This window comes from Homo sapiens, chromosome 17 (assembly GCF_000001405.40).
Source record: "Homo sapiens chromosome 17, GRCh38.p14 Primary Assembly".
Classification (NCBI taxonomy): domain Eukaryota; kingdom Metazoa; phylum Chordata; class Mammalia; order Primates; family Hominidae; genus Homo; species Homo sapiens.
Genome location: NC_000017.11, coordinates 21,456,814 through 21,468,846, shown reverse-complemented (window position 1 = coordinate 21,468,846; position 12,033 = coordinate 21,456,814). Strand labels below are relative to the sequence as shown.

General features: G+C 50.5%; 1 long non-coding RNA gene across 1 annotated transcript, besides 4 other annotated features; it reads right to left on the bottom strand.

The window, feature by feature from the left end:
- Positions 3,547-4,100: an enhancer, noted in NCBI's record as "H3K4me1 hESC enhancer chr17:21368059-21368612 (GRCh37/hg19 assembly coordinates)". NCBI's record gives its function as "activates a minimal SCP1, AML or CMV promoter by ChIP-STARR-seq in primed H9 embryonic stem cells {active_cell/tissue: H9 hESC(primed)}" and the evidence as "EXISTENCE:reporter gene assay evidence [ECO:0000049][PMID:30033119]".
- Positions 4,101-4,654: an enhancer, noted in NCBI's record as "H3K27ac-H3K4me1 hESC enhancer chr17:21367505-21368058 (GRCh37/hg19 assembly coordinates)". NCBI's record gives its function as "activates a minimal SCP1, AML or CMV promoter by ChIP-STARR-seq in primed H9 embryonic stem cells {active_cell/tissue: H9 hESC(primed)}" and the evidence as "EXISTENCE:reporter gene assay evidence [ECO:0000049][PMID:30033119]".
- Positions 4,655-5,208: an enhancer, noted in NCBI's record as "H3K27ac-H3K4me1 hESC enhancer chr17:21366951-21367504 (GRCh37/hg19 assembly coordinates)". NCBI's record gives its function as "activates a minimal SCP1, AML or CMV promoter by ChIP-STARR-seq in naive H9 embryonic stem cells {active_cell/tissue: H9 hESC(naive)}" and the evidence as "EXISTENCE:reporter gene assay evidence [ECO:0000049][PMID:30033119]".
- Positions 9,855-11,652, bottom strand: LOC124903951 (uncharacterized). Its single transcript, XR_007065664.1, has 2 exons — positions 11,147-11,652; positions 9,855-9,994 (listed from the first exon to the last, which is right to left on the bottom strand). It is a non-coding gene; the product is annotated as an uncharacterized LOC124903951 (long non-coding RNA).
- Positions 11,733-11,812: a silencer, noted in NCBI's record as "silent region_8320". NCBI's record gives its function as "represses an Ori minimal core promoter by ATAC-STARR-seq in GM12878 lymphoblastoid cells {active_cell/tissue: GM12878}" and the evidence as "EXISTENCE:reporter gene assay evidence [ECO:0000049][PMID:35858748]".

Genomic DNA, 12,033 nt, shown 5'->3' with positions numbered 1-12,033 from the left:
GGGTCTCACAGCCTTCAGAGCCGAGAGCCCTGAACAGAGATTTACCCATGTATTTATTAACAGCAAACCAGTCATTAGCATTCTCTATAGACATTAAATTAACTAAAAGTATCCCTTATGAGAAATGAAGGGATGGGCCGAATTAAAGGAATAGATTGGGCTAGTTAACTGCAGCAGGAGCATGTCCTTAAGGCACAGATCGCTCAGGCTATTGTTTGTGGCTTAAGAATGCCTTTAAGCGGTTTTCCCACCCTGGTCAGGCCAGGTGTTCCTTGCCCTCATTCCCGTAAACCCACAACCTTCCAGTGTGGGCATCAGGGCCATTATGAACATGTTACAGTGCTGCAGAGATTTTGTTTATGGCCAGTTTTGGGGCCAATTTATGGCCAGATTTTGGGAGGGCTTGCTCCCAACACCTCCAATGTGGGGTGAGTCATTAAATTGTCTCCCCTGCCACTGAATAGATTCCAACATAGCGCGGCCACACGTCCAAGGGCATGGGGGACAGAGGGGGAGCTGAAGAGCTGATGCTCCCTGATCCCTCAGGTGGAGGGGTCAAGATGACTGAGGTGGGTGCATGCAGAGGGCGGGGGCAGGAAAGTGCTGGGGCGGATGTTGGAGAACCGACACTAGTGCAGCTAACCCAAAATAACTACATCGGGGATTTCAGATGGCGTCTTTTGATAGGGAGACAAGAATCCTCATGCGAGATGAGTCAGGTTCTCCTGGGAATTGCCCTCGGTGGGGGGAATTAAATGGCACTCCTGAACACTAGGGCTAATTAATAATAAAACCCTATATTTCCATTTTACTGCCGATCACATGGAGACATAAACGTCTTCCTGATGGGAGCCATAGCCAAAGCCTTTCCACTTGCAAGAGCTTGGACCTCCCTGCAGTGCATGCAGGTTGACCAGGGAGACCACAAGAGGGGGCAGGGGCAGGATTCATGGCAGGTGAGCCTGGGAGCAGAGCAGAGAGAAGCACTGTTGTCCTGTGGCTTCTTTGTCTCTGCTCCACTTTGCCTGCATCATTATGGACTATCCCAGGGGGAGAATCTGGATGAACGCAGGTGGTGGTTGAGTTCTCCACAGCCCACCTGCAGTGAGTAAGGACCTGCCTCTTCTCCTGAATGGTACCTCTTTAGCCAGCAGATGGGCACATTGTTCCTCATCCTGGATCTTCTAAATGTGTCCAAGAAGTCTTAGTGCCAGTTGTTTCTCCAGGACTCTGGGAGGCTGTGGCAGCTCAGGGGCTGATTGGGAGATCATCTCCTTTCCAACCTTTCCCTCTATGAGTTCCAACTTCCATGAAGCCTGTGTCTTCTCAGAAGAGATGGGAGAGGTTTCTTTTTCTCATCTAGCCCACAGCCCCAGCAAGGGATCGCCCATATCAGTGGCTATCATGGGCCTGAGCATGAAGTGACCACGGGAATTGGGGCTGTGTGAAACGCTCACCTTGCAGTTGGCGGCAGGTGTGTCCTCAGGGGAGTCCTGTCAGCCTGCACTCCAGATGCGTGGAGGAGGGCAGGGCAGCCTTCAGGGACAGCAGAAGAGCGGGTTGGGTGAGAGAGGGCTAGGAGGAATCACTGACGTATGCTCCCCAGTGTTAAACCTACAAAAATGTTGATAGGATAGAACTAACAGTCTGATCATTTCAAAAGGTAAATAAAACTCTCCTTACAATCCTTGCCCTTCAAACTCAATTCTTTCTTGGTAATTATCCTTTGATCAAATTTGAAAACTGAAAATGATGTATGGAGAGCTTTATTTCCTTAATTTTGACGTTTCTAGAGGAGAAGGAGTGTAGTAGATGGAGCAAAATGTAGCGTTCTGTGGCAATTTTGAAGGACTGGAGAGACCAGATTTGGTAGTGAGGCTTCTATCTCACCCATTAGCAGATACACAGGACAAAGACGCAAGAGCAGCAATGGTGACTGATGCTTCGAGGTCCCACAGGACACTGAGAACGGAGGCCCCATTGCAGGAGGGGTCTGCATGAGCCGCCCTGCAGTGCAGCCTGGGCTTCTGCTCTGAACTCTGTCCTTAGCCCCGCACACACAGGATTGTGTGGGATGAGGGAAGCTGCACCTGCCAGCCCAGGCCTGTGGAGCGCTGGGCGTTGCTTCATCGCTCTGTGTCACTCCATAAGGGACTGTTCACATGGATTTGTTCAGCTTCGCTCTCCAGCAGGCCCCTCACGCATTAGTCCATTGGATCTCTCAACTCTCCCAACAGGTTGTTGAACCATTTCACGGAGGAGGAACCTGAGGTTCTTATGAGGGAATAGTTCACCCAGAGTCACAGCTGATAGGCCACAGGTTGTGGAGATGGCTTGCCTTGGGATGAGTGTGTAGATTGACTTTAAATTGTTAAGGAGGGGAGTTTAGATATGTATTCCCAAAACTTACCATCGCCATCTGGTAGTCTGAATTACCATCTTACTGGGAACTGTCCAGGTGACCTCACACCAGAGCTCATGTGATATCCATTTATGATAAGGTGGTTGTGTGCTCAGCGTGCGCACATATCTCTGAGTGGATGTGAGGCACATGCCAGATGGGCACAGAGACATCCACCTGGAATCCCAGCATGGTTTGAGCCCCTCTACACATAGACCTTTCCTTGGTGCTGGGAAGTCAATTGTCCTCCCCTGACCCTTGGAAGGGAAGGTCCTGGCTGGCCCAGAATGTTTCAGATGTTTTAGGTATCAGTAACCTTTGAGGACATTACTGTGGATGCCACCCAGGAACAGTGGGCCCTGTGAGGCCCAGCCCAGAGATGCCATCCTGGAGAACAATGGTCCCCTGGGCCTAGTGGGTGAGTCTGTCAGCACTGATTGATTTATTCATTTATCTTTAATAATTTCAACTTTTCTTTTCGATTCAGGGGGTCCATGTGCAGGTTTGTTACATGGGCATATCGTGTGATGCTGAGGTTTGGGGTACGATTGATATAGTCATTCAAGTAACGAGTGTGCATGGTACCCAATGTTTAGTTTTTTAACCCTTCCCCGCTTCTTCTCTTCCTTCCCCCTCTTGAATTCCCCAGTGTCTATTGTTCCCATCTTTATGCCCATGTGTACTCAACATTTACCTCCCACTTGTAAGTGAGAACATGCGGTATTTGGTTTTCTGTTCCTGCGTTAATTCACTTAGGATAATGGACTGCAGCTGCATCCATGTTGCTGCAAAGCACGTGATCTCGTTCTTTTTATGACTGTATGGTATTCCATGGTGTATATGTACACATTTTCCGTAGCCAGTTCACCATTGAAGGGCAGCTAGGTTGGTTCCCTGTCTTTGTTATCGTGAATAACGATGATTTATTTTTTGAACATGTGTCCAGGACAGCCTGGCCACACCCCTCCTCTCAGCCCTCAGTCACACTGGTTCTTTCACAGCACGAAGGACTACCTGAAGGAAGCTTGTTAATGTCTCTACATCTGGCTTGTCACCGACCAGAGCATCATCTTCCCATTGCAATGTCCTGCCTTTCTGGCTGCTAGATCTCCAACACCCAGAACACTGTGGCTATCTTAAAAAAATAAATCACTAGATTAAATTTTTACCAAGCAACAACTCTGTTCTGAGCACGAAGCTAGCGTTTGAGAGCATAGCAGGAAAAATAACTGGCCCTTGCCTTTTCCATGCAAGACTGACATTGTGCTGGTAGAGCTTTCATTGATTGGATTATTATGAAAATAAAGGTCAGCCAGCTGTGGAATCTTCCTTCACTCTGCTCTGAGCCTGGCCATGCAAACCAGCAACATGAGCTCCCACTGCCTGGGGATCCGAAGCAGGACTCCCTTCTGTCCTGTGAGGGACGCTGGTGTCCTTGGGGTCAGGGCTCCCTCCTGTCCTGTGAGGGACACTGGCGTCCTCAGGGTCAGGGTGCTCTACCCCGGCAGCCCTTGGAGACCCACCTCATTCTTCCTCAGGAGCCTGCCCTGAACCTGAGGCCTATGCTTGGTTCTCAGCATAGGATTCAAATCCCTGTAGTTTCACTGCAGAGCAGGAACTCTGCCAGTCAGAGATGATTTCCCAGCAGGAGCAAGGGCCGGGCTGTGGAGGGCAGGGAAGGTCCTCCCTGGGGCCTGAGTCCAGGTGAGCGGCAGACCGGTGTGCTCCTGGGAGGACCCTGCCATGGAGGGAGCAGGGTCTTAGTGAGCGCGGTGCGGAGTTCCAGGAACGGTGTTTTCAGGTAGCATGGGGGCTGCTGGTGACCGGTTCCTTCGAGGTCATATTCCTCACACATATCAGTCTCCCTTCCTATATGTTCCTGCCCTCCTGGGCGTCAGAGTTTCCCGTTGCAGCCTCTGCCCTGACCCTTGCCCTTGGACCGTTTCCCTCCGCTTTCCTCCCTGATATCCCAGATCTACTCTATTTTTCCTCTTATTTCAACCTTGAAAATGTTGTCTGTCAGTTTCCTAAGTCGTGTTTCCACTCGCTGGTGTACGGAGTGTCAGGTTCTACCCCGTGCAGCCGGGTGGGCCCCTCCTGCTCCTTCCTGCTCCTGGAGGTTTCATCCCCCACCTCCCCCCACAGTGGCTTTTAGCTGCCTGGAGCGGGGTGAAGCGGCTGGAATCCCCAGCCGCCCGCCGGCCCCTGGGGCGAGTGCGGAACGACCCTCTCTCCACGCGGAGCCCTGAGCGGGAGGAGGCAGGGGCCCGGGCAGCGGGAACTGGGAACAAGCCGCCCGGCAGGAAATTTCGCGTGGCTGGAATTTAGGAAGAAGCTCGCGGGAGCTCAAAACCTCCTGCTAAACGGACAACTGTTAAGGCGCGCATCCGGTTCTGTTTCCCACCTGCAGGCTCGGCGTTCCTCAGTCTGGCAGGCGGGGAGGCGGGTACGCGCTCGGAGAAGTGGTGGAAGGCTGGGGTTGCGGGGTGCAGAGAGTGCTGAGCCACGAAGACTTGGGGCAGCGAGGCCGCCGAGCGATGGCAGAGCCTGGGGAGGCGTCCAGGCTGCGGGGGAGCGGGGACTTGGGAGCAGGGACCCTGGGAGACGCTGAGCGCAGGGCCAGGGCCGCGTCCAGAGGTCTCGGGTAGGCCTTGACTAAAGAGGGGGCTGGGAAGAGAGACGTGGAGAGGTCAAAGGGCCCTGGTGAGTCTGGGTGAGGAGCAGGGGATCTAGTCCCCCCAGAACTGAGTCCAACGTTTTGGGGGGTAGGGACAAGGAAACAGTGAGGGGGTGGGGGCCATGGGCCACCGTTCAAGGGACAAACCCCGTTCAGAGGAAATAAGGCACGGAAGTGAGGTGACAAGGGACATGGGCGTGACAGGGCCATGAGATAAGGGGTGTCGAGGTCGGGCCAGGAAAAGATCAACTAAACAGCTGGGGGAAGTGGGGGCCGGGGGAAGCAAGACATGGAGGCATGAGGGAGAAAAAGGGAGGAGGGGAAGCTCAGCAAATCAGTCACTGCCGGGCGCCTCTAGGAGCCTGATTTTGTGGCACCTTAGTCATGTTTTCAGAGAAGAGGTTCATAGTCTAGAGGATCCCATGGCCACATGGCCAACGCAGGGAGGAAGTGGGGTGAAGAGCTGGGGTGCCCATCTGTGGCCCCACTTCCTTGTGAGGTTCTCACAGGCCCTGTGGGCACACAGCCCAGCCCTGCCCTGAACTCGGGGCCTGCCTGGATCTTGTCTCTTCCCTCCTGTGCTTTCTGTCTCAGCTGAGCTGTTCTTACCTGCACCTTAGCACCTCAGGCTGAGTGGGAGGGAGAATCTTAAACTGGCCCTCAAGATTCTGCCCCCTGGGGAACAGCCCTGTATATAGAATCCACTTTGCCAGGGTGGCCTGGACCTCTGAATACTTTGGGATCTCACTCCCCAAGTTACATGACTTTACGTTGCAGTTAGTGGGGTTTGAAGATGTAATTACAACCCCTAATCAGTCTACTGTAAGGTCATCAAAAAGGAGATTTTCCTGGAGAGGCCTGGCCTAATCAGGTGAGCCCTTTCAAAGAAGGGCTGGAGGCTGGGTGTGGTGGCTCACGCCTGTAATCTTAGCACTTTGAGAGGCCAAGGCAGGAGGTTCACTTGTGCCCAGGATCACTTGACCCCATCTCTACAAAAAATACAAAAATTAGACGGGAGTGGTGGTTGCACGCCTATAGTCCCAGCTACATGGGAGGCTGACGTGGGAGAATCACCTGAGCTCAGGGAGGTTGAGGCTGCAGTGAGCTGTGATTGCACCACTGCACTCCAGCCCGGGCAACAGAGCAAGACCCTGTCTCAAAAAAAATAAAAGAAAAGAAAAAAGAAAAAAAAAGTGGGCTGGAGGTCAGAAGCAGAGGGGGTCAGCGTGATGCAAGGCAGACAGTCTCCTGCAGGCCCTGAAGAGGCCTCCTCCTGTGCTGTGCCGCTGTGCCGCGGTGCCGCTGTGCGGAGGGCCTCCAGGAAGGTTTCTGAAGCTGCTGCTTGTGTGGCAATTGGTTACATAGCAGCAGAAAACAAATGCAGCCATCTGTTCCTCCCTCTCTTACCCCAGCCCTGGATCTAACCAGTTCCTGATATTCTCTAACCAATGACCACCCTGCACGTTCCTGGACAGCCCTGGTGTGAACCTTCACTCACCCTGGGTGGCTGAAGATGGTTTGGGATAATAATGATAATAGTGGCTCCTGATATCTGTTGGGCACTAACTACTGTGCAAAGTGTTTTACGCCCATGAAGCCATCCCATTTTCACAACAGCTGCATAAGGAGGCATAGCTAGAAGAGGATCTAGCAGCCTTCCAGTTCAACTTCATTTAGACGTCAGGATCCCAGGCCCAGAGGCGCAGCTCATAGTTTCCAAGCCCCACACGGCGCTGTTTCCAACTGTTAGGACAATCCTGAACACCTAGAAGGCGCTCCTATGTGCTATGGGTGTAGCAAAAACATCCTTCATTCACAGACTCTCCCCAGGCTGAGCCTGCAGACCCCCTCTTGTGATAGAGTCGGAACTCAGTTTTTAAAGAGCTTAGTGTGTAGATACTATTGACGATCACTGGGAGCTGAAGTGTTCTGGAACTCCAGGCATAGTAACATGTTTTAGGTTCATTGATTTGAAGTATTATGAAAGGAAAACAAATGTTACACCTCAAAAGGAGTTTAGATTCTCTGTAGTGATAACTACAGTATAGTCACTTATGACTATTTTCTAAATTTTAAGCTAAATATTCAGTGTGATAAGATACTCATTTTTGTACATGTTACATCCACTTAACTATTGAAGCTGGTCATTTATTACCTCACATGCAGTGTTAAGATAATGAGTAAATTGTTCATAAATTTTCACTACTATTATTGGGAAGCATCATGGCATGTAATAAATCATCTTTTTTTATACATAGAATGAAATCAAGGCTAGGGAAGGTACATACTACTCCATTCGTGCTGTGTGGCTAAGCATGGATCTCATCGATTGTGTATAATGGCAAGATGAGTACTAAAAATATTTGTGGGACCAATACTTGAATGTTCATAGGCAAGATGTCAAAAATATCCCATCATTCTACAAATTAAAATAATTTTAGTATAATGTTGAGACAGCACATTTATAAACATGTGCCAAATAGAACGTAGCCACCTAGCACAGTGACTGGATTGGATGTAGTGCGTCTCTGGATTCCTCCTATGTGTTTACTGGAGATGTTTGGGAAGTCACCCAGTCCTTTCCTTGTTCATATTCTTTATCCGTGTATTGGAATTTCATAGTAACTGCTTAGCTGATGTGTTTAATGTAAGTTACAGAATTGTCTGTTAAACATGCTGTGCTCATTACCTATTATAGGATATTGATTTTTTTCTGTATCTTTGCCCTTCTTTAAAACATTCTAGTGCTTTTACTGTTTAGAACATGCATGAGAAGACATAGCAGGAGGAGAGCAAACATGACACCAACTTTTTTCATTTCTTAGCCCTTTTGATCTATGTTACAGCTGAAGATACAGATGAAAATTAAGGCTGAGCTATCTGATATCCTGGTATCTGTTGGGCACTTTTAATCTGTTGGGAATTTTAATCGTTAGATATTTTACTTCTGATTATGTGAACATATACAATTTAATGATTAAAATATTATAAATTTCATGCTTAATAATAAATGTCTTTCATATATGGCTCCATCAACTCTTTAAACTTTGCATATTTATACTGTGAAAAAAATGAATTAACTAAGCCTCCGGCTTTCTAAAATGGAAGCAGGAGAGGCACTCACATCCGCTAAAGGTCAAGCCACAGAATGTTCCAGTAGACTTGGATAAACAACTGAAGCCAGTGTCCACCAGCCTTCAGCATCTTTCAGCTGGGAGTAGCCTCGTTAACTGACGAATCAGAACGAGTTTGCAACTTAGGATTCCTGCCCAACAAATCAACTGCCTTTAAAAATAACTTTTTGTGGAAATCCTCGATTCAAAAATGTTTCCTGTGCTTGCCTTACAGGACACTCTTCAGGGCTGCCCTGACTCACTGTACCTGAGTTGCAATTCTTTGTTTCCCAGACAAATGCTATTTCCTTTGACCTCCATGCCCATCTTTTTTAGTGAACAGCACAGTATCTTAACTGTTATTGGTATCTATTATTAACACTGTTGGATCTTTCATTGCTTCATAGAATTATCTTTATCTTGGGCAAGAAAGTGAAAATTATCCATAGTTTCTTTAAAATAGTAATATTTTAAGCCACTCAAAATAAGAAAAAGTCAAAGTTCACAATAAAAAGATCCTGATATACCTGAATAAGATTTGAAAAGTGAAGAACAATTCCTTCCACCTGAAAAGGGTGTTGACCCAGAATCCACCTCTGACGACCCTCTAGAGCTGGCAAGTCAGCATCATTCCCAGTGCACCTGTGACTGATGACACATCTCACCCAGCTGCCATAGGGATGTCAAAGACACGGGATACAGTGCTGGAAAGGGAAAAAGCATCAGTGCAAAAGTAGATTTCAGGATTTGGAGCACGGAGGCAAGTGCCCTCTCCTGGCATCCCCGCATGGGGCCATGGTGAGGAGGCTCTGCAGTCTTCCAGGACGACTGGACCATGGATAGGAAATACCCAAGACATGGATTCTCTGGGGACATGGGCGATTCCAAAAGCACCGAGGAGTGTGCCCCTAGAGAAGCAGTCCATTGGGTCCATAGTAAAATCTCATAGCATAACCAACAGTGGAGACCAGAGACTAAAAATCTGTAACATCCTTGGAGTCCATGGACCTCGAAGCCAAACACAACAGCCCCACGAGCATCTGCCATCCAGGCATGGAGAGCTAGGGGTGAGCTTCTTAGAGTAAAGGAGGCTTCTTCCCTGTTCAGATGTGTGAACGGTTGGGTTTACAGATAATGGAGGTGTCTGTGTATGTTGTCATGAAAATATAAGGCAAGTGGCACCAAATGTGATTTAGCGGTCCCAGAAATTCAGTGCTGCGTGCTTTCTACATGACATTAATTTTAATTATATGTACACAGGAGAAAATTTAAAATTGAAATGTCTTATCATTGCTAGAAAAACAGAAGTTTTTTCCCTACGAGTTAGAAATCTTGATCTCTGCGTTTTTCTATGGATCGATTCTCAAAGTTTGTGCAAATACAGTCGGTGTTTCTCTCTAAGTGTCTTTGGTTATGAACTAAGGATGTAACCAACTCCTGCTTATTAGGTAAAGGGATGAGGCAAGAGAGATCCAGCAACAGGGTATGGTTATTTTTCAGTCTTTGGCAACATTTTTCTTCGTGATGTCAAAAGTAGTGAACTCCCTGACTAGGGTTTCAGACATGGGCTGTTCTAATCCACCAAACACCAAACGGCTGGGGAAGAAGAGATTTGGACATGGATAACCAGTGTCACCTACAACATGGAATGGAGGGTCGTCAAAATGGTCTGAGTCACTTTAATATGTGGCTGGAGAGATGCGAGAACAACAGAAAGAGCCCTCAGGAGGCATCCCCACCCAAGGTCAGTGAAGCTCAGTGCAGCTGCAGGGTGTGGGGTCATAGGGTGACCAGGTGACCGGGCTGATGGGGAGGAAAAATGCTCTGTTAAGGGTGTTGTCTCTGTCACCTCTTCAAGAAGCAGCACAGTCTCAGGCACATGTTCCCTCCTGCTCCCCGCCACACACACACACAGACCCACTGCAGCTCTTCCAAGATTCTTCCCTCCATTCTGGGACCTCCCCTTCCTCCTGAGCCCCTGTGGCCTCTATCTTACTCCCTTTCCCCAGTTCTTTGTACCTCCCTCCTCTCCCTCACTCATGTCCCCTCCCATGCAAAGCCCCTACTGGTTCCCCCTTCCCCACTTCACCTCCACTCACACTCCATCTTCACCCTCCATTCCAGTCCTTCCCTTCCTCTCCTCACTCTGACTCCCCTGATAAACTCACTTCCCATCCCCTCTGTCCATGTCCCTGCCTCAGTTTACCTCCCTTCCCCTCTCCTCACCTCCCTTGGATGCACCTGACCTCTCCCGCCTCCCTCCCCTTCATTCATGCCCTTCCCTTCTTCGCTCTCCAGTTCCATCTCCTCCAACATGCTCCCCTCCCCCTTTCCTTCAGCCTCTGTTGACCTCTCCACCCTCCCGCAGTCCCCTGCCCTCTCCTGCTAAGGCCATCCCTCCCAGCCATCCCCGCCCTCCCTACGTCATCTCAGTTGGCTCCATGTCCCTCAGCTCCCATCCCCTCCTTCTTCCCTGCCCTGAGAGCCATCCGGGTTTCCTTTCCAGTCTCCCTCTGCTCCTGTGCTTTCTTCCCCTTCCCTCACTTCCCCTGCTCTGTCTTCTCCTCAGTTCCCCGCCCTCCCTCTCTGCACCTGCCCAGTTTCCCCCATCTCCCCTCCATGCTCCCTTCCTCCCCAGCTCCTGAGTTGGACCACCTCAGCTCAGCGCCCTACTTCCTGTGCCTGCCCCTGCCTGCTGCCCACCATCCCTGCACACAGCTCACTCCTCCCTCTGGCCCTCCTGCTGAGCAGGCGGCTCCCCCACTGCCCTGGGCCTGCCCACCTTCCCCAGCCCCCGCAGTCAAGGCTCTCCAACTCCACACCACCGGGGTGAGGGCAGAGAGGCACCCTCTCCAGGGCTGCGCTTCCTCCAGCAGGTACCAGCTCCTCCCCCTCAACTAAGCTCCATGGCCCATCCCTGCCCTGGGGGCGACACCACAGGGACCTTCCGCTCACCTTGCCAGGCTTTTCAGAGGCCTCGGAGCTGTGGTCAGGCAGGCGAATGGGGAGCAAGCCAGGGGTTACAGATCCAGAGCCTAGGGCAGTCCAGGCAGGGGGGGCTGTGGTCCCCTGTGACCACTTCTGTGACCTTGCCACTTGAATCCTCCAGGGCCTGTGTCCTCACCTCCAACGTGAAGATCAGGCTGGGCCATTATTGCAGAGCTGTGCTGAGTGTTGAAGAAGGTGCGTGTCACGCGTTATTATAGGTAGCTGGTGTTTCCTGAGCGTTTGGAAACGACGCTTTGTAAAATACTGTGAACTAACCGCAGAGCTGGGCACAGCATGCTTCATGATCTCATTTTATACTGACGTGTTTAGTCATCGTGCTGTCAAGTATTCTCCAGCCACATCATTTGTTAGTAGTTTGACCTGCATAGGAGGGCACTGTCACCCTCCCTCCTGCTGTGCTGATTTCAGCTGGAGCCGCCAGGCCAGGCCGCCTCACGCGCCCCCTGCTGACTAACCCGGGAACTGCCCGCAGCCTGCTCTGAGCTTTCTGATGTGGGCGGGACCGGGCCGGGCAGGGCCAGGCGCCTGCGGGGAGGGGCGGGGCCCGGCGACTGAGGGGAGGGGCGGGGCCAGGCGCCTGCGGGAGGAGACCTGGTCCAGGATCAAGGAGTCGCTCAGTGCAGGACCGGCCCAGAGTTCACATCCCTGGCTTGATCTACAGGTAAATTTTTTTTGTATACTTTAAGTTCTAGGGTACAGGTGCACAACGTGCAGGTTTGTTACATAGGTATACATGTGCCATGTTGGCTTGCTGCACCCATAAACTCGTCATTTACATTAGGTATTTCTCCTAATGCTTTCCCTCCCCCACTCCCCCACCTCCCCTACTGGCC